General features: G+C 33.3%; 1 protein-coding gene across 14 annotated transcripts in view; it reads right to left on the reverse strand.

Annotated features, from left to right (window-relative positions):
• Positions 1 to 22,945, reverse strand: part of MAPK10 (mitogen-activated protein kinase 10) — a 583,670-nt gene that overhangs the window by 74,487 nt on the left and 486,238 nt on the right. For 7 of the 14 annotated variants that reach the window (XM_047415964.1, NM_002753.6, NM_138982.4 and 4 more), the window contains 5 exons: positions 22,332 to 22,461; positions 18,295 to 18,353; positions 17,003 to 17,141; positions 16,161 to 16,326; positions 13,633 to 13,704 (listed from right to left, as the gene is read on the reverse strand). In XM_047415964.1, the coding sequence (XP_047271920.1) occupies positions 13,633 to 13,704; positions 16,161 to 16,326; positions 17,003 to 17,141; positions 18,295 to 18,353; positions 22,332 to 22,461 (566 nt within the window). The other 7 variants (NM_001363657.3, NM_001318067.1, XM_047415967.1 and 4 more) reach the window with 6 other exon arrangements.

Genomic DNA, 22,945 nt, shown 5'->3' on the forward strand with positions numbered 1-22,945 from the left:
AAACAGACACATAGATCAATAGAACAGAAGATAGAACCCAGAAACAAATCCACACACCTACAGTGAACTCATTTTCAACAAAGGTGCCAAGAACATACACTGGGGAAAAGACAGTCCCTTCAATAAATGGTGTGGAAAAACTGGATATCCACATGCAGAAGAATAAAACTAGATCCCTATCTCTCACCATATACAAAGATCCAATCAAGATGAATTAAAGACATAAATATAAGGCTTCAAATTATCAATCTTCTTTAAGAAATCACTGGGGAAATTTTCTAGGACAGTGGTCAGGGCAAAAATTTATTGAGTAATACCTCCCAAACACAAGCAACCAAAGTAAAAATGGACAAATGGGATCATATCAAGCTAAAAACTTCTGCACAGCAAAGAAAACAATCAACAAAGTGAAGAGACAACCTACAGAATGAGAGAAAATATTTGCAAACTACTCATCTGACAAGGAATTAATAACCAGAATATATAAGGAGCTCAAACAACTCTATAGGAAAAAAATCTAATAATCCGATTAAAAATGGGCAAAAGATTTAAATAGACATCTCTCAGAAGAAGATATGCAAATAACAAACAGGCATATGAAAAAGTGCTCAACATCACTGATCATCAGAGAAATGCAAATCAAAACTACAATGAGATATCATCTCACCCCGGTTAAAAGAGCTTATATCCAAAAACAGGCAACAACAAATGCTGGTGAAGATGTGGAGAAAAGGGAACACTTGCACATTCCTGGAAGTGTAAATTATCATAATAACTAGGAGAACAGTTCTGTGGTTCCTCAAAAAACTAAAAATAGAGCTACCATATGATCTGGCAATCCCACTGCTGGGTATATAAACAAAAGAAAGGAAATCAGTATATCGAAGAGATATCTGCACTGCCGTGTTTGTTGCAGCACTGTTGACGATAGCCAAGATTTGGAAGCAACCTAAGCATCCATCAACAGATGAATGGATAAAGAAAATGTGGTACATTTAAAAATGTTAAGTGAAATAAGCGAGGCACAGAAAGACAAACACTGCATGTTCTCATTTACAAGTGGGAGATGAACAATGAGAACACATGGACACAGGGAGGGGAATAATACACACTGGGGCCTGTCAGGGGAGCTGGGTGGGTGGAGGGAGAGCATTAGGAAAACTAGCTAATGCATGCTGGGCTTAATACCTAGGTAATGGGTGGATAGGTGCAGCAAACCACCACGGTACACGTTTACCTGTGTAACAAACCTGCATATCCTGCACATGTACCCTGGAACTTAAAATTAAAATTAATTTAAAAAATCAAAACAATTGAACTCATCGAGATAGACAGTAGAAGGATGGTTACCAGAGGCTGGAAAGGATAGCAGAGGAGGTGGTGGGTGGGGATGGTTAACGGCTAAAATAAAAAGTTAGAAAGAATTAATAAGATCTAGTATTTGGTAGCACAACAGGGTGACTACAGTAAATAATAATTTAATTGTACATTTTAAAATAACTAAAAGAGTATAATTGAATTGTTTGTAACACAAAGGATAAATACTTGAGGGAGTGGATATTCCATCTTCCATGATGTGATTATTATGCATTGCATGCCTGTATCAAAACATCTCATGTGCCCCATAAATATACACAGCTATTATGTACCCAGAAAAATTAAAAATTAAAAAAAGTCATGCATAGCTCATATTCCAAGAGCTTTTAGAAATCATTGTTTTGAGAATGCTTTTATATAAATGAGGATATATTGACTAAAAATAACATAACTCCTTATAATGTACTATATAGGTATACATTATAATATGGCATATCTCCAGCTCTATTTTAATGTCTCTATTTAATAGATTTAGGTATAATTTTATTGTATTTTCAGTAACTCATTTCTAATAACAGAATTTTTTAAATCAGTAATGTCTTATACATTAAGAGGTTAATTATTTGATATTCAGTGTTCAAAATTTGTTTGCTTTAAGACTGATTTAAAACTTTAACCAACATGTTTGAAATCATTGAGACCACAGCCCACGATCAGAAGACATACTTTAGAAAATGATTCCTATTTGTCCTCCAAGAAATTTACAAATATGTCCCCATACAAGAGCTCCATAAAGGACTTCATATCCAAATATCAAGGGCTTTGAACAGGATACTGCCACATTACCCGAGCCCTAAAGCATTGTTTACAAGGAATTTTGACACCCAAGTTAAAAAATGACACACGAGCAACTTTTCCCAAGAAACTATTCTAAAAAATGTTAAATTGTATTTGGTAATTCAGTTGTAGAAATCTGTTTTAATTTTTCTTAATAGAAACATAACAAAGATCATAAAAACACTCATTTTAATTTACAGGTGGCAAATATTCATTTTAGTCACCAATTATTCAACCACAATGAACTTCTGGAAAAGCAAAGAGTACTAAGTTAACAAATTGAGTCTATTTTCATCAAATTATCTAAAATCAGCCAAAACTTAAAGACAATTTCATATTCATGCCCAAAGGCCAAACACAAGTTTATAATTCATTGGGAATAAAAGAAGTCCTGTTTTTTAAAATCCCTCCTGATTTTTAAGAAATCTGAAGGAATTCAGTTTTTATAAAGCCAGCTAGTTTCAAATAGCATTAATGTTGATGTGGTAAATTATAGACGTCATTTAATAAAATGTATATTTAGAAGACAAAACAGCACTATAGACAGAAAGACTTTTTAAAATGTGTGTCAAACAGAAGATTAGAAAAAAGTTTTTAGTAAGAATAATCAGAAGTAAAAACAGTGTAACTATTTTTAACTGAAGTATTTTAAGTCCTTTCTTCCAACAAAAATTGAGTGCCTAATACAGCCATTTCCAGAACTTTTTCTTTTAATATGTAGAGAGAATATATGTATGAAGCCATATATATATATTCATATATGTAAAACCAGATACAAATATTAATCCTCAAGTGTGTATATTACATTATAGACATTTGATAAAAAATTATAATGTAGATATTAGAAACAACGCAAATGGCTAATCATAATATGGTATGGATGCACTATATTAGTAATTAGATTTAGTCTAATTACACATTAAAACCCCATTATTATAGGCTCAATTTTATTTTTGAAGTGTTTTATTAAAGCAGAGGTTTTACCTTTAGTAGGATGAAGACATAAAACTTTCATAAGTGACTAAGTGTAGAGGGATATTTAACAGGACCCATGACACATCCATATACTAATCACTAATCGCACACTATTCATATCTATTTAATACTGCAGAACCTCTGGAATCTTTTTGTTTGTTTGTCTGTTTGTTTAGAGACAGGGTCTCACTCTGTTGCCTACCTAGGCTGCAGTGCAGCAGCACGATCACTGCTCACTGCAGCTTTGACACTGGGGGCTCAAGCTATCCTCCCAGCTAGTTTCTTTGTTGCTGAGACTACAGGGACTTTCACCGTGCCCGGCTAAATTTTTTATTTTTGTTTTTTGTAGAGACAAGGGTCTTGCTCTCTTGCCTAGGCTGGTCTCAAACTCCTGGGCTCAAGTGATCCTTCCACTTCAGCCTTCCAAAGTGTTGGGGGTTACAGGCATGAGCTACCACATCTGGTCTTGATCTTTACTTGTTAATTATTTGCTGCTTAAGAGAGAATCACTTTTACTTATTCAAGTGATTTCAATGTATTTCTTCAGATATTTTATATAACCATTATTAATGAGGTTTTAATTATTGCACTTGTTAATAATATGCAGAAAATAAGAGAAGGAATTAGAGCTATTATTCCCATAAATGGAGTGAATAAGAAAAATAATTTTAGAAAAACTTGATCAATTGTAAAATGAAATTCACATCCATGCTCTCTGAATATATGTTAAAATAAACCAATTAGTATTTGTGGAGGAACATGAATCTGATAAAAATTTCCATGCCAAATGAATATTTCTCATTATATCAAAGTATAAATCTTCAGTCTTAGAACTGAAAGACTTTATTTATTATCTAGCTATGAATATATCTTCATTTTGAAACATCTACAACAAAAACAAGAAAGAAGAGTACTCAATGTTATCAGTTTGGTAGAACTGAATTAAGGCAGACCTTTTGATATCAGGTTGACTCTTTCATATTTGTTACTGTATTATCCACATAAGGTCTTACTAGGAGACAAAGTTACTCTGCCATAATGCCAACTTGTAAATATTTGACATTGAGTCTCATAGAAACTCTCTAAGGACAGTGAACAAATACCATAAGCAGTACTGCATTTGAGACAAAAGGGAATTAATTGAGAGTGACACCCATAGATACCACTGGCTGCTAAGAAGGATACGATCAGTGCCAGGAAACAGCACTGCACCTTTTATCATTTCTCCCATGATGCACCCTACTGACCACATGTCAACTGAAAACAAAAATGAAATGAAGATAAACAAGAACACAGGAATAGAACAACAAATAAATGAAAACACTGGGCTACTCATGCCATAGAGCAATAGTCTGACTTTTCACTGACTGGATGAGAGGCCAGTGGCATGATCATTAGCATTTTAAATGGTGGAAAGGGGAGAACATAGGCTCTCAAGGCCCTTTTCTGTCATATAACAGAAATAACAACACTACCCAATGCTACCTAATGTAGAATAATATTACTTTGCAATTATAACTCAATGATTAATTTAGGTTTTGATTTAAAAGGTCTAATTTGCATTCATTTACTAGAATCCTACTGATTTTTATCATAAATTATTCTAGATAGTGTTAATATGCAAATCAGTTTCTTTTTTACTCTTGTATACGTATTTGAAAAAAGAAAAAAGAAAAGCTGAGCTGCCAGCAACCTCAAAAGAGTTTCTTTTATAAAACACATTTACCCTTATTTATAAATATAAATACAGTTCCAGAAGTGAAAAGCCAGTTCAAGAATGAATGTTTCAGAATATGTTGTCTTAGTGTCATTGACTCTCATCAAAGGAGCATGTTTCTCAGCAGGAAGCCTTGTCTTATTCTTATAAACACAGTTGCCTTATAATGATAAGAAAAGCTGGCTTTCAAAATGGGATCGCTCAATGTGAAATAAACAACATGACTAAAGAGCTGATACTTCTTCTGAAACTGTGAATCAAAAGAAACCTGGAATTCAAGGTGGAATTATAATGGTCTCTCTGTTATTGCCAAGTATCATCCAGAACTTAAAACCAGGAAGCCAGGGCAGAGCGCACAGAGGGAGGGGCAAAATGGGGAAGGGTGAAGCAAGAAAGTGAAATCTCTCTCTTGAGCTACACTTGGTTACTCACTTGTTGTACTTAAAAATCAGAAAGAGAGGGCATTCTTGTGGGGGGAAAAATAAACAGAAGAATTAGGGATGCTGGGGGGGAGCAAATAGGGAAAGGCATTAAGATAGCAGCACAATATAATTTTGCTCCACTTACTTTTCAAATTACATCTTGTAATTTGGCAGTGACCTTAAAGAGATCCTCATGAGATTCATTCCAATGTGAAAATCTCACTCGGGTTAAACTCAAAGTTTCCATTGTTTGATTTAACACCTAAACAAAGTGATCACTGCAAAGAAACGGTTACGGCTTTGAAGGTGATAAGCATACCCAAAGAAGCAAATTTGTTTTGCTTCCAGTTTAGGAAAGCAACTGACATGCAGAAATATCAGGGAAAGATAGAGCAAACAGTTGTGCATCCCTTTATTATTAACGTGTTTGTAATTTCAAGTAATATCTGTCTCACAACAGGATGGTATTGAGAAATCTTTGATTAAAGAAAAAAACGGAAAACATATTTATTTTTAAATTCCAAGTATTCCTATCATACTGTCCAAAGAGACCAGTTTGACTAAATTGCTATTTATGGATTATCTATATTTTATAGATATTGTGGAAGAGATATACAAAAAACATTGAGACCAAAAATCTCAATATGCAGTGTTTTCTCTTGCCTGTCTCCATTCAAATGTTTAGAAAAAAAATGGTTTCTGCCATTAACCTGTCTGGGACTTAGGAAACATCTATTTCTATTTCTCATTTAGTATAAAATTGTTTTTTACAATATCTCTGGCAATATATTCATCTTTTTCTGCTAGAGAACCAATTCTATTACTTTCCAACTATGTGACCTTGGCCAGGTTACTTCTCTCTAAACCTCAATTTTATCCCCTAAAATATTGATGATAAGCTGTATTTATTATGTAGAGTTTTATAAAAGACTTGAAAAAGTTATGTCTGATAAAGATCCTTGCACAACTGCCTGGTACATAGCAAGTCCCCAATAAATATTATTTACATATCAAATCATCATGTATTAAATAATATATTAAAATTATATTTGGGAATTAAATATCTTTGGAAAAGGTTTATTTATTTTAAATTTACATAATTATATTATATATTTACATCTATAATAAAGAAATCTTTCCAGTGGAGGAATCTCACCACTCACTAGGCAATCTATTTTATTGTTGAAACCACTTAGAAAGGCATCCTACATATTGACTCACATTGACTCTATGGAACTTCTCTTCACTATGTAAACAGGAACTACTGTGTTTCCTCATCCAAATAAGAACCTTAAAGTATGTAACTATAACCTGTAATCCCTAACCATTCCTCTCCTAAAACTGGCCAATTTTATCTTTCAGGCTAAAATCCCTTGATTTTTTTTTTTTTTTTTTTTTTTTTTTTTGCTGTTCTTCACATGCCTTTAAACAACAGCAACAACAATAACAACAGATGGCCTAAATTAAATTCTGGTCTCTATGTTGCTTTAGCACCAGTTGGTTCTATACAGTTGTTAATTTTTTTTTTTCTTTGAGCCAGTGTCTAGCTCTGTCACTAGACTGGATTGCAGTGGCACGATCTTGGCTCACTGCAACCTCTGCCCCCTGGGTTCAAGTGATTCTCTTGCATCAGCCTCCCTAGTAGCTGAGATTACAGGCACACGCCACCACGCCCAGCTAATTTTTGTATTTTTAGTAGAGGTGGGGTTTCACCATGTTGGCCAGGATGGTCTTGATCTCCTGACCTTGTGATCTGCCCACCTCGGCCTCCCAAAGTGCTGGGATTACAGGCATGAGACACCATGCCTGGCCCAGTTGTTGATTTAATAACTGGTATTAATAACTGGTATATCTCACAGTTCTCTTTTTGGTGTGGGGGATCTGGGAGATACTCCAATGTAAAAGAAGAATATTTATTTAAAATATATATCTTCATGGGCAGAACTCAAAATAGATTTAATAGATCACAAATCTTTTGCATAAAAATAATGCAGAGATGTAGGCTCTAGATCTGAAATTCTGATGTACATATTGAATTTCATTTTCTTTATTTTAATATATCTTTATGGGTGATAATATCCTGGAAATCTTTCTAATTCCCATTTTAACTTTACTCACCATTCACTATTCCTAGAGAATATTTATATCTATGCTACCAAAATGCTAAGCCTTGTGCCTAGAAATGATAAGCTCTGTTATCTTGAATTACAAAAATTGAATATATGCACATAAATTTATATAGATTTTTATGTATTCAAGACAGGATTATGGCTCAAGATAAACTCATTGTACCAAACTTCATGAATTTGCCATCTCCACTAACAGAAAATGTATAATAAAAGAATTTGATACCAACTCTTATTGAACAGGAAGGTAGTAGTAGTAAGCCTTCCCTCTACTAATATCTCTATATTAGGATACATAAACATACTAATACAATATGTATCTGAATATATTAGTGATATATATATATATATATTGCTAATGAAGTTAAGAATAGATTATTTTATGAAATTGTCAGGTATTACAATGAATAGGGACTGTGCATAGACCTTAGAAGTAATTAGCAAATTCAATCACTGTTGGAAACTGCATTTTATGCTTTCTGAAACAATCTGATACAGCATCTGGGTCTCTGTAAGAGTTCTGTACACTAATGCTGCCAAGGTAGAATTCTGTTGGCTTTTAAAATTCTGATTCATCACATTCTTTCATCATCATTCTATCATTCCCATAGGCAGAAGGCAGATTCACTTGCAACTGTAACAATCAGATGCTGAGTCACTTTCCTTAGAAGAAATGTTGAGTAAATTTTGGTGTTACCAAAATATGATTAATTTTCAGAGTGAGAACCTCTGAAAATCTCATGTCACATTATTTGTCAGAAATTAGCTTATAATAAATTATCTTTCTTCTACTTCTAACCAAGAGATAGAAATTATACAATGTAAGCCCTGGAAGTTAAATCTAAATAAATAAAGAACTATATTGCTACTTCCACACTCCATCTAATAGCTTAAATTATGATCCACAATTAAATAATTTTGAGACTATGTGAGCTTCTATCCTGGAAAATGTTTCCTCTCTGGGGGATTACGTAACTCTTTTATCACAATTTCTGAGACTTCTCCTTAACACACCTAAGTATATTTTCATTTAGTGTAGAATTTAGACAAATTTTCTCTCAATGAATGACTCAACACACAATAGCAAGAAGATTTAATATAGTTTTCTAAAATCAGAACATTTCTTTGAAAATTATTTGTTATAATTTTTATAAAAATTATAAGTTATAAAGTTAGCAGTTATAAAATTAGAACATTTCTTTTAAAATTAGTTAACTAAGTCATAAATTTAGTTGTTTAACAAAAGGACCTTGTACTAAACTTCAGTTCAAAGACAGAATTCTAAAAGACCACTGATATACATAAATAAACTAAGAATGTACATATTTTGCACATGTGAATCTAAGTAAGAAAAATAAGCAACAATTCGCAGAACTTAATGCTAAATATTGTAATGCCAGGAAATCAGAAAAAGACTTTCTCCTTGAATCTACCTATTAAACTTGCTTTTATTTCTTTACAACCTCAGAATCTCCAGCTCCCATTCTGGTGAACCCTGCCTCACATTTTCATAAAATAATAACAAAAGAGAAGAGTTAGCAGGCACACTAGTGGTAAAAATGTATTCTTTTAAACAAATTCAAATAATAATTTTATTTTTAAATATTTATTTATAATTACATGCAATTTGCTTATAGATTTGAAAGAATGCCTACTAAATTGTTTCATCCTAACTTTATTTAAAACCATAAATTTTATATTGTTTGAAATAACTCTGTATTGTCTTAATTCTAAGAAAAAGAGTTAGACTATATAGTAAGTTGTTAGTTGCAAAAGTTTATTAGGAATTAAGCACTATTATTTCAAAGAGGTAAGAAGAATTTTAAAATATCTCTGTGCTAGATTGATATAACAATCTGTAACCACAAATTTTTGTTCATTTTACTTTGATCCTTCCTAATGTTCATATTCAAACTTTAAAAAGATACAGCATTCAGTTAATTTGAGGGTGTTTTTCTTATTTCTTCAAATATACTTTTGGAAAACCATTTACCTATTCCTTAATAACTTGGCTCCTTGGCAAGGTTATATGTATATCTCTTTCATTCTAACTGCAATTTCCTGTTCTTCAGAGGGAAAGGCAAGAGGAGCTATTTTAGCAGTCCAGCTGTTAGCTTTGGATATAATATACTTGAGGTCCAGAATTTTCAAATGCATGCAGTATGCCTGTCTTTAACTTTATATCCAGAGAATATTGGCCAAGAACTTAGATAAAGGGACATCACAGGGTTTGCTCAAAGAAGGTGCTATCATTTGAAGTAGAATGGAAAAAATAAGGTTGAAGAATGTATCTAAAAGAAGCAGGTTTGAGGAAAGGACTCATGAAAATTATACTGGGACTATAGGAGTCTTTGATAATCAACAAGATGGCATGTCCTGGTTGGGGTTTGGGGTGGTGGAGGCAGTGAATGACTGGATAGTTCTTAGAAAAAACTTCTAAGGAAGCATTGTAAAGCTGCTTTCCTGTAAATTTTATTGAAAGGAACAAAATCTGAGTGAAGCTAAAGTCACTGATTTCTTTTATCTGTTCTTTGGACTACATAAAAAAAAATAATGGACTTGGCCTATTTACTACTCTCTAACTTGAAAGTCAGCATGCGTTTAAGAATGTTTAAAGAATGTTTAGTAACATATTTAAATATGAATGTGCATTATAATGTTCAAATAAACTACATTATGTAAAAATATATGCTATGAAATGTTTTAATCATAAAACTATAGTGAAAATTAAGTGTATGATAGTGTATGCATAATTAAGAAACACTTTACACAAGAAAAATAAGTATTAAGAAGTGATCCTCTGGATATTAAAGTAATTAGCAAATTAATAAGTGGAAAAGCAAATATGTATTGTTTATTTTGTTCAATTTTATTTTGCCAACATTCTAATTCAGTAACCAAGACAATTCCCTGTGATATCATCTAGATCATATCAACCACCAAGAAACCCCCACGATGTTTCTCAAAATGCAAAGATAGTTTGAATGTGGGAAAGTAGTTAAACTTCAGTCATCAATGACAATTTCATAAGATTCTCTGATTTGTCAAGACATTTTACTATTTTTGCTTAGGGTTCAAGTTTAAAAGTTCTGTGAAGAGAGAAGAAAAATGTTGATTATTATGATAGTATTATCACATCATTTTTCAGCCTCAAAGTAATTTAATATAAATTACTCTGAATAATTCTAGGTGAAAGACATGAGAACCTCTGATTGTTTTTTGAAATTTCTGCAGAGTCCTGGAAGTAGTCAAGGTATCAATTAGCATATACTTAGCTTTGATATTTCTTCCAATAAATGTTAGACTAATTTCAATATGCTTAAAATTGTGTAATTCTTCTGCCGATAAATAACTTGAATCAGCCCTCAGCCTTGTGTCTGATAGTCATAGTTTGAGAGGTTATCTGACTGCTCAGTTGTTGGTAGGAAGTCCTGTGCATAAAATGATAATAATTTCATTTAAAGATTAATAAAACAATTCTACTCAAAATTAACAAAGCACATTGTTTAACTGAGATTTCTATAGGTTTATTTTTTAAATGTAACTATAACTTTAAACATTAAGTTATAATTTTAATTATAGGTAAAAGGGGCTAAGAAATCCAAATGGAAACATTTTCAAAAAGGAAACATTTTTTCTAACCTATTTCATTGGAAAATATCTACTCATTTTTTGGTAAAATTTAACTTAAGTAAAAGGCTTTCCATTGTAGGTGTCTTTATGCAATTTTTTTTAACTTTTAGGTCCACATGCAGGGTCATTATCACATATGGCACTAGGCTATCAAAGACTGCTGTACTATGTAATCATCACTTGAGATAAAGAAATATATATATTTATATAATAAATGCAAACCTTTATTATAATCTACATTATCTGTATTAGAGATTATTTAAATGTCTAGGTTCATACATATCAAGGATATAAATGTTATGTATTAATTTTCACACAATTTAATTTCAGCTCCAAAAATTTTTCTAAAACAAACTAGGATTAAAAAAGGTGGGAGGGGCACCTCCAAGAGAAAAATTTTTAAAAGAAAATAAAATTATCAATATGGTGCTTTGTTTTTTTGTTTGTTTTTCTGAAGGGTTAGATTGAGTTTAAAACTTTTTGCTTTTTTTCTCTTTTATTGGCTTTTAAATTTAATATTGTCAAAATAGAAGAAAAGCAATCCGCATAAATGCCTGAAGAGCTAAATAAGATCTCAGAGAACAACCTCGCTACATGAAATCAAGTGACATGTAACAAAATGTCACATGGAAATGAGAAATCCTGTGGCTTTTTGCTTTCCACTGACAAGTGCATGAGAGAGATGTGGCTGTGCAACTTCACTCTGAGTATTGATTGAGAGGTTCCTTTTTTGTCTAAAATGTGTTATATACCAAAGGCAAAAGCATAAAGAAAATAATTCCTACTTTTGAATAAAGTCAGCACATTTAAATATGAATGTGCACTATAATATTGTTCAAATAAACTATATTAGGTATATAATTAATCCCCAAACTATAGATAAGTAAAGTGAAATAAATTTTCCTAAGTAGCCATATGAAATCTAATGGTGAAAATGATACTTCACACTATAGATAGGAAAGGAACATGGAGCAAACAGAGATTCAAGACCTTAAGATTGGTTATAAATAAATGGTTGCCATGTGGTTTTCTTATCTTCTAGACCAGCACTGTCCAATAGAAAAATGACAGTCACAAATGCCAATCATATACGTAGTTTTAAGTTTAATGTCCACATTCAAAAGAATAAAAAAAGATATATATATTTAACCCAATATATTCATAATGCTATCACCTTAACACAAGCTATATAAGATTATTAGTAATATATTTTACATGCTTTTAAAAATATCTTCAAAATCTGGTATGCATTTTACACATAAAACACATTTCAATTTAGACTATAATTTCAAGTGCTGAATAACCACATGTGGCTAGTGGCTACCTACTAGACAGTGCAGTTCTAGAATATGTCATCACTCTTACATTACTAGTGGATTTTAGAGACTATCTCATTAATATCCAGCAGAATGAATACATACCTACCTAAATACAAGCTTATTATGGTACCCACTTCTTGTTGAGTCAGGTTTTTTTGTTTTTGTTTTTTACTATTGGACTTTTTAAACACCTCAATAAAAATCATAACCTTTCTTACATAATAGAAGGATTCCTTAATAAAACTTTCTTATCAATCAAATAGAATGGTTAATAGAGTTATGGGTCACATGGTTATTGCCAATTTCCAAAACATCCATATGTAATAAATATACTAAATTCAATCCTGTATTATAATTGTTAAAGTTGTCAATGGTGATTGTACTTAGATTTGCACTAGTATTTGTAGTAAGGTATTTTTGTATTTTTAAAAGTATATTATACTATTATATGTAAACTTTATTGTCTATATATTACAAACACAAATCTGTACCTTTACTAGAGAGTGAATTTTTGGCCATTTAAGAAATGTATCAGTTCATTTGATAATTCCAAATCATAGATAGCTCTACAAGAAATTTCTGATGGACTCTATTGCAGGACTCAGTAGTAGAACTTAAATCCAAATTGCTTTATGAAATTATAAATTTAGTTGGGAAAACAAGCATGTATGTCTATGTCACATCTCCAAGTCAGGTGAGAGAAGTCTACATTAAACTCACCTGACCACTAGCAACTTGAACAATAATTACAATTTTTAAATGCAGAAGTTCATGTTTTGAGGAAGATATGCTATATTGACCTGTTAAAGACTTGATTTAGTGTCGAGTAATTTAAATCAACAAAGCCATAGACAGAAGCTTAGAATGTCAGCAAGGAGAGCAATTATTATGCCTAAATATTGTAGAAGCACAAAATAGTTTTAGAAAGGAGATGGAAAATGACTTGCAAATAGTGACTTATTTTGCTAGTTATAAAGGTAAATATATTTTAATCATTTGGGATCTGGTAGCCTTTGTTATTAAAGAAAAATAGCATTTCTATTTTTAGTTGCAGGCAAGAAAGTAATTTTAGAAGAAAAAAGCCCATTGAAATTTAATTAAAAGAAATCATTGTGGTAGGCAGTCTTCAGTACTGGTCAGATTATAGAAATTATCACTTTTTTATTACAATAACACCACTTACCCAACTTTTTGCTTCTATCTTTACTCTCCTGGTAAAATCATTATGTGTTTAAAAGGGAGAGAGAACAAAACAGGTAAAGCTGTAGCAAAAGGTACAAGGATACAGTCCCTTCCTGGAAAGAGGATTTTGTGGCGAACCATTTCTCCCATAATGCATCCCACAGACCATATATCCACTAGAACAGGAGAGAGAGGGTAGTGAAGAAAAGGGAGGAAAGTAAAGTTAACTAAGATAATTGACTTCTGAAGGAGGAGGAAAAAGAACAGTTTGATTAAAAGTACAATTTTCACCTCCCACCAAAAGTTGGCCAAAATGTGAATTCAAACCAGCGCTATGCTATTACATAAACAGTGTTTAGTATGAGAACTCAAATTAATGTTTAAAAACCCATTACTTTGTGGGTGCCTTACATTGCCTCTCAGCAGTGCCACAAAGTGGTGACATTGGTGACTGAGAAAAGCAATAGCTAAACCAAAAGTATCTCCATGGCAGGTGACAGCTAAAAGCCACCAAAGGGTTTTCTGTGTCATTTTCCGGATGCATAGAAAACAATATTAACTTGTAGAGTTGGCTATTTTCATTTTCTATTCTATTCAGTTACAGAGAATAGGGCAACAAGAGACCACCTTTTTTTTCAGGGGGCCAGGGGGCCGGGGCAAAACAAGATAAATTCAACCAAATCCAATAAACCAGGAAATGACTGGAACCATGGTTTAGAGGCAAAAGAATTGGAATTCCTGGTATTTGGGACTTAGCTTTTCCTTCAGAAGTTTATTCTTGTAAATAAACATCAGTTTTAGTTTCCATTTGAAATATTTCAAGAAAAAAGACATATGATGAATTAGCACATGTATAAAGGAGTCATCTGGAAGGAAAGTGAAAAAAGTATTAAAGGTGTTAAAAATTGTTATGTACATATATTTATTTCCAAATTGTCAAACTTGTTAGGAAAACATGCTTTGCCTTCTCTTACCAATCTTTACCCCTTTCCAACTTGCTTTTCATTATGGACAAAGGGAACTTTTGGGCAGAATCATTTGGCCGAATTGTTCCATGGGGAAGGAAGGCGGGGCTAGGTGCAGGGGACAGCAGGGCATGCCTGATGTGGGAGCAAGCAGGTTTTTCTGCATGATAACCTTCCTCCCATTGGTGGGAGGGCAGCACCAGGGTGCTAGGCAGGCCTCCTCCATGGACTTAGAGAAGTCAAAAACCTAAGGCAGCAACTTGCAATTCCTTCTAGTGAGGGAAGGGAAAGGGATTTTAATACCAGCTATTGGTAGTGCCAAGATCTGAAAGCCCAAATAGGCAAATTCAGACCGCCCCACCCCCCAGTCTCCTGTACATTCTTGATTCTTGACTTTGTTTCTCCTTTGACTTTTTAAAAATAACTCGTGAAGAAAGTATAAAAATGTCTTCTTTTCTGAATAAATTAGATGTGGTATTGCCTAGCAAGGAGGGCTAGATTCATCTCTTCTGAGTCAAAAGGTACCAGAACTCCGATATTGCCCACCAGGGTGAACCTGACCTTTGTAAGAGGTGACTTTTTAACTTCCTCTGTATAAATGCATACATACATTATCTGTCTTCTAATCTAAGAGTATACAAAGAAGTTTCTGTAAACTTCAGTGGCCAGGGAATTTTCACAAAAGTACCCTGTAGCACCTGTACATAAAAATACACTGATTATTTTTATAAAACTTATTAATACAGACTGCTAAAAACTAAATAGAATAGAATATAAAAATAAATATTAAAGATACACTGAATACATATACAATCCTAATTTAAAACTATTTTAATTCCTAAGTATATTGAATATGTTTTCAATATGGTGCATTACTTGTAAGATATAGTCTCATCAAAATAATACATTGCAATGCTTTCTAACATATTTAATAAATCCTTAGTTTTAATCAACTACACTCAATTGTGATACATTTTTAAGATTCCTTCCATAGCCTTCATTTTAAAGTGTTCATGAACATTAAGTTTTCTTTATGAAAGCAGTAGTGTCAAATTTGACATTTTCCTTTTTTACGATTTTTGGAATATATAAGGATTTATTAGGCAATTGCTACTCTAAATGTTTCTTACAGAGCAGCTTAAATTATTACAGAAATTCTTATTCAGTTTAAATAATTTGGATTATTTCAAAGTTGTCTATGAAGATTTTCACTCTAAGGATTTGTGTCACTTTTTTGCTTGTCTTTTTCTAGAACTACAGCCATCAGTCTGAGATACAACATAAAAGCCACATGGCTAACTGTGGTAGATTCCTTTCTGCTTTCACACTCATGCTCAGCTGAGCTGCAACCCAAATAGCAATTTTTCTCAATATCTAGGCACGTGTGCTAATCAGCATCCGCTTGACTGTTTAATCAGACTCCATTTACAATTCTTTTTCACTATTAACATTTAGTGCTCTTCTAGCAAAACTGACTTCTCAATAACATCCTTCACATTTTTAATGAGTGTTTCTTACCAGTAGTATTAAAAAAAACCCTGAATATGCTATCTGGCAGCCCTACTTTATAAAAGCATGTACATAAAAGAGAACATTCCCCTTGGCTATCTACAACGTGCACCCGTTTCATTCATGGTTTTGATGCTGCTCTCCCGAAGCATCCCTACCGTTCTCCTTGTAGCCCATCCCCAGGATGACCTCAGGGGCTCTGTAATAACGTGTCACCACATATGGAGTCATCATGAAGCTTGTGCCTGCTGTCCTGGCCAGTCCAAAGTCCAGGATTTTCAATGTGCAATCAGACTTGACTACAATGTTACTTGGTTTTAAATCCTAACAGTAAGGATAAGGGAAAAAATTAAAAGCCAGTATCAAGTGAAATGTTATTTCCATTGACTCAATCAACATAGCCATTTTGCAGTAGCACTGATGAGGTCCCCCTTGCCTACAGAGCTCTAAATAAGGCAAATGATTACTGCTACAAATAAGTTAACTATTAGTTTTTGGAAAGTGTTTTAATCCCAGAAAAGAATTGTATTATCATTTTCACAATTTACACTAATCTTGGGAAGAGGTTTTAGAAAAAAAAATATTTATTGTCTTCTGTTAGGTTTCTCCTTAGGACAACATAAATCTTTCAACATATATATCATTTCTAGGCCTGACAGAAGAACAGATCAGGGAAGCTGTCTTTATGCTGCCAGAAACATCTATGGAAATGAATTTTCTTATTTCAGTTGCACATATGACTTCTGCCAATCAAGGAGCTGAAAGCATGAGGCTTCTAAGAAGCTGCATCTCAATGAGCCAAAACATAACATTGAACAAACTCAACTACAATATAACTAGAATTTCCTTCTACAATTAGTGAACTAGGTGCTAATTCTAGTATCAAAGAAATGAGGAAGTATATTATATTTGACCAATGCCCCCCGTATAAAGAAAATAATCTACAGTTACTCTTCCTCTTAAAGCATTTGAATTGTAATCCTAGAGAAGGTGTTCTTACCCTGTGAATAATTCCAGCAGAATGGAGGTGCTTAATGCCACACAACATTTGGTACAGCAGGTAAGACATTCGCTCATGGTCTAATTCCATCTGAATCACTTGACATAAGTTGGCATCCATCAGTTCCATTACTAAGTAACTAGAAGGGTGAATCCACAGTGTTAGTTCCAGATCACAAGATCTATGAAGTCCTTTGATTTAGTCAGAATGCTCTCCTAACTCTGTAAGTCTTCTGAACTTCTTAGCTCTGCCTTTGACTTAATCAAGACTGAGCATTTCCAGGTATTGCATGTGTGTTAGCTATACGAACCCTACCAAAAGGTTGCTAGTAGAAAAAGCATTTATTAATGTCTGGTTCATGTCCACAGATTTGTTACCTTAATTTTGCTTTCACTTTCCCCTGTATTCCCTCAACTCTTTTGTGAATATTATAATTTCAAATAAGAAAAAAATTAAGGACAGCTTCTTCCATTAAATTCAATGTATCTGTATTAAAGACAAGGTGCTAGGGAATCACTTCCTCTCCTCCATCTGTTGTCACTACTGGGTAGACTTTGCACAAAATCAATGACACTATAAAGATAGAAAGAATAAAGATAATTTTCACGTCCCTTTTATTACTATTTCTTTTTGTTTGTTTGTTTTGAGACGGAGTCTCGCTCCGTCACCCAGGCTGGAGTGCAGTGGTACGATCTCAGCTCACTGCAACCTCCGTCTCCCGGGTTCAAGCAATTCTCCTGCCTCAGCCTCCTGAATAGCTGGGACTACAGGTGCATGCCACCACACCTGGATAATTTTTGTATTTTTAGTAGAGGTGGGGTTTCACCATGTTGGCCAGCATGGTCTTGATCTCCTGACTTTGTGATCCACCTGCCTCGGCCTCCCAAAGTGCTGGAATTACAGGTGTGAGCCACCATGCCTGGCCTTATTACTATTTCTTCAGGTAAATTAACTCATTGTAGAAAGTTTGTGGAATCTATTAATAAATATAAATAAATAAGCCTTCCCTGAGTGACCAAGAGCATGGAACAACAAAGTATATAAAGCCACAAGGCCAAAAGGAGGCAGAATGTCTTTCCAGGAAGTAACCCCACAAACAGAATCTTCTTTACATATCACTGGACCCCTTTCATTTGACCCCACCTCTTACCTCTCTTTGAGCAGTATAAGGGATTTCAACTCTGTGTGTGTGTGTGTGTGTGTGTGTGTGTGTGTGTGTGTGTGGTGTGTGATTTTCCCTTGGGCTATCTGAGTGCTGTGCTCTCCCTTCCTTCATGAGTTTTGTTACTTACACATCTTGGAACTCCTCCAGCGTTTTCTGGGGTGTGAAGACATTTAATAAACTAATAATCTGAAAGAGAGTGGAAGGGACAGAGGAAACGAGAGAAAGAAAAAAGAGAGAGAATGTATTATTTTTAAATTGTATTTCAACTCAAAGTCACTCACTAGTGCTATGGCAGAAATGGAGAAGTTGGAAAAATGTCTTGAGCTGTCTCAGAGGACACAGAAAAGTATGCTCAGAAAGAACAGATGATCTGTCTTCAGGTTAATAATGCAGCTAAAAAGCTCAATTCTTGGGCAGAAGCAAGAGTCAGAGAGATGCATAATTGTTACACTGCTTTCAAGTGTGATTCCTCGTGGCAGAATATGGGCCTTCGGGGGATTAAACAAAAAAGGAAGAAATGCCATGTGAGGAGAGAGGTGGCAGTAAAACACTCAGTGAGACTTAGCAAGGGGATACTTCTCCAAATGAACAAAGTTGTGTTCTACTTCATGATTTTTTTGTGTTGTTACTTTATATTTTTTTTTACTTCTACCTCACACTCAAATATTAAACTAATGCTCCAATAATATGTGTGGGGAAAGGTGCATTCTAGATGATATCAATGATGGATTTAATAGAAAATTATTTTAAAGTTATTTAAATTCAGTTAAAAGCTTTTTGTTTCCTGCTTTATTTTATATATCAGCTAGTAAAAAAATCTACCTTCTAGTATAAGCAAATTTTGTAAAAACCCCTTGTCACATTTCTCAGTAGAGTACATACATCAATAACTCAAAATGTTCTTCCAGCTAAATATTTGGTACTAACGTGCCAGTAGGAAATGAATATAAAAATATATAAAAATCTTATACTCACAAGATAGTTGCAACTATTTTATAAAAATTAGATAAGTACAAGGTCAAGATTTAAGCAGCTTCAAAGCATCAATCAATGAATTTCAGTAAACTTTATAAATGATATAAAGACATGTGGAGTAATAAACATAAAACAAAATTAGTTTAAACACCTGAGAAATTGACTCAATTCTATGGAATGTTTTATGTCTCACGTAGTTTTAACTGATTGAGAAATTATTGACAAAAAATAACCACAGTACCATCCAATATTTTCTAGTATACATATATATGGCAATGTTGTAATATAGTTTTAAAAATACAAGATCATCTCTTCTAAAGCAACCTTGCAGTGTGGAATATTCATATAGAAATAAAATTGTTTTAAAATTATCTTTATAACTTGTGATTAAAGTGCCATGTTATTCTGTGTACTCAGTGCTAGTGAGTGTTGAAAAATGACTATGAAGTACACCTTTCATTGGAACATCTACAGTGGGTCTGTTTCTCTAGGACTTTATCAATCTCATAAAGTAATTTATTTCATTTTGCTATTTGTTCAAACAAAAATATTAGAGACTGTGTATACAGCACACATTACATCCACACAAACATTCACATGAACACTACTTAAAAATGGAAAAATGCTAACCCAGATCACTTAGTGAACAAATAATCTAGATAATTTAAAAAATATAGAAAATAGCATTACAATTTTAAATAAATCAAGATTTATTGTTTTAAAAGGTAATTTATCAAGATCTATTCCCTACTGTATGTTCTTATTTTCCCTTTTCCTATGACCTTGTTTTATTACTTTTTACTCTTCGAGAATTTCTCTTCTATCCTTCATTTGCTCTCTTGTAAATTCTAATTCCTACCAATAGTCAATTTTAAAAAGGCATCTGTAGAAGGAGATTATCACAGCTATAAAATTTCCATTTTAATCCAACAGTTTCCAGACAGGAATCTCAGTTCTTTTATTCCAGCATCTTGAGACACACAGATGTGAATCTATGTTTGTCAGGCCCCACTAGTTCCTGGAATTGAATATTTATTTTCTTTTTCTAGATAACAATTTTAATCTAATTTTCAGTTGATAAGAAATACAGAAAACAGGGGACCAAACTAACACCATAAAGAAGTATTTTCTAAACAGATTTTCTTCACTATTATTAAAGATTTAATGGGATTATTTTGCTCTTGCTTTGCTTTCCACAGTATTAACACAGTTCTACGTTCTTATTAATGCGAAATTTACATTTGGTTGTAAGTGAATTTCCTCTTCATAAAAAGTTCCAGAAATGTGTTTCTGTAGACTTCTGCATACATACATACACACATAAAAGGAAGGTAGCAGGTGTGATGCTATTTATAAATTATCACTGCAATCTGGAACTCTTTTTTAGGCTTCATAAATATGAGTCTCCAACATTTCAGTCAAGAATGGGAAGTATTCTCTCAAACTGACCAAGTAAGTGAGCATTTCTCCACATTCTATTGCATTACAGGGTCTGGAATGAGGATGAGGGAAATATAAATACATGTATGGAAAACTTTCCATACAATTGATTCATTGCTTGTATCCATCCATTTTTCATTGCCCATGTTATGCTCCATCCTCCTTGGTATAACAGAATATATTGCATTGATCATGTGGCTAATCTTGCACTTACCTTTATTTAACATACTGAAAGAACAAATTAGTATATAACTCTTCATAGGAACCATCCTTTCTATCATTTCTATATTCCTTTCTAGAAGTCTCATGTTTGTTGCATGGCCATATTAGATATGAGTGTGCAGTTCATAAAATTTCAATTTCTTGGTGAGGCCTTTGCTGCTTGGCCTATTTAAAAGGGTAAACCTATCCCACCATACACTGACCAGCATTTTTAAATATTCCTTCTTTGCTTTGCCTTACTTAATAGCACTTATCATCACCTGACATTTTACACATTGACCTGTCTTATTGTGGATCGCCTTGCTCTTGCCAATAGAGCATAACTCCACATGGGCAGCAATTTGTCTGTTTTCTTCACCATCTAGATCTGTTCCTGGCACATTTTATTCATTCAACACATACATGTCAAATGACTGAATTAAAAAATCATCAGGGTAGAGTAACAGAGGAAAAGAGAAATACTGTCATGGGGCCCGAATCTGCATATTTGCATTTCAAATATCTTTCAACTTAATACTAACACATTTGTGTCTTCTCAGTGCCACTGGTAGATGGCGAGCATTAGGACAAGATCCCTGGTTTATAAAACCGCACTGGTAATGTGTTCTGTGTAATTTTCATACATAAGAACTTTGTAGAGAGTTATTATAGCTATTATACTATAGAATAATTTTACTTGTAATGAAGTTATCTTTTGATTTTTAAGAAAATAAAATTTTATTTATAATAATTTATAATTTATTATATATTTATATCTAAAATGTATTTGATGTATTTATTATAATTTATTTATTAATAAAAGTTATTAAAATAATGAATTATCTCCTATTTATCTTTATTAAGAAGAAGTGGAGCACAGAAAGAATTCTAGAGGTCTTGGCCTGTGATTGAAGGAGCTTAGATTCTGAAATGAAGAAAGTCCTTTACTGGTCTACCCAGCTGAGTTCCGATGAGAAAAAGCTCTTGATCCTATTCTCAAGTGGTTTGCAAATATGTACTCACATACTTGCCCACCCCTGAAAAAAATAAGATGCCAACACACAGTGAATTCACTGAACAATTAGAGGCCACCACCAGGCTACAGCTGAAATAAAAAGGAGATAACATGAATAAAACTCAACCGTTGGCAATTAAATCTAAATTATAAATCTAAATTAAATCTAAATTATAAAGAAATGTAGCATGGTGCTTTGTAGGTTTTTTTTTTCTGGCTTTTGGCTTTGCTTGTCTTGTTTCTTTCTTGAAGCTCTCAATTTGGAGCAAGATAACCAAATATGGTAAATTTTCTAACTAGGGAAATATTTATAAAATTCATCACTTCCACATCATATGGTTTTTAGGTGATTTTTAAGCAGAAAGCTACCATGAGGACAATGAAATCGAATGTAGCATATTGGCAGGATAAACAATCTTAAGAGGCAGGAATTGCAAAGCAAAGAAAGCCTTTCTTACTCAAGTACAGACACATTTTCTTTTTCCAATCTTACAAACTCCCACTGCCAGAAGTTTAAAAATAACAAAACTCACGTTTTTATGGTTCACACACTTCATGAGGACCAGCTCCCGGTACGCTCTCTTGGCATGTGTTTGGTTCTGAAAGGGTCTGCTGAGCTTCTTAATGGCCACATTTCTGTCAAGGACAGCATCATACGCGGCACTGTAGAGATCCAAGAGCAACTCAGAATTAAGAACAAAAGATTCCTTAGAACTCTTGCCTACTTGATTAAGGATACTGGTAAAGAAAATGCTATTTCGGAATCTTAGATACTGTCTACTCTGGTCACATGCCAATCAGGCTTTAAGTAAAGATATGAGTGACTGGCATAAGAATATTCTACATGCTAGGAGGATGAAGAAGAGTTGGAGGAAGGGAAGAAGGAGAAACAGGAGAAGGGGGGAAGGAGTAGAAGAGGGCAAAGGAGAAGAAAAAGATCTTGCCAAGAATATAGCATATAATTGCCTCAGTGAGTGGGTGGAATAAAGAAGTAAGACAGGCATTCAAATTTCCCACTAGCCATGTGACTATGGCAAGTCATTTAATCTCTCTGAGCTTGAATTTCTCATCTGTTAATATATGATATTTAATTTTTATAGCTATAAAATTTCATTGTTCTTTGTTTGTTTTAAATGAACATTTTCTA

Source organism: Homo sapiens, chromosome 4 (assembly GCF_000001405.40).
Source record: "Homo sapiens chromosome 4, GRCh38.p14 Primary Assembly".
NCBI classification, from domain to species: domain Eukaryota; kingdom Metazoa; phylum Chordata; class Mammalia; order Primates; family Hominidae; genus Homo; species Homo sapiens.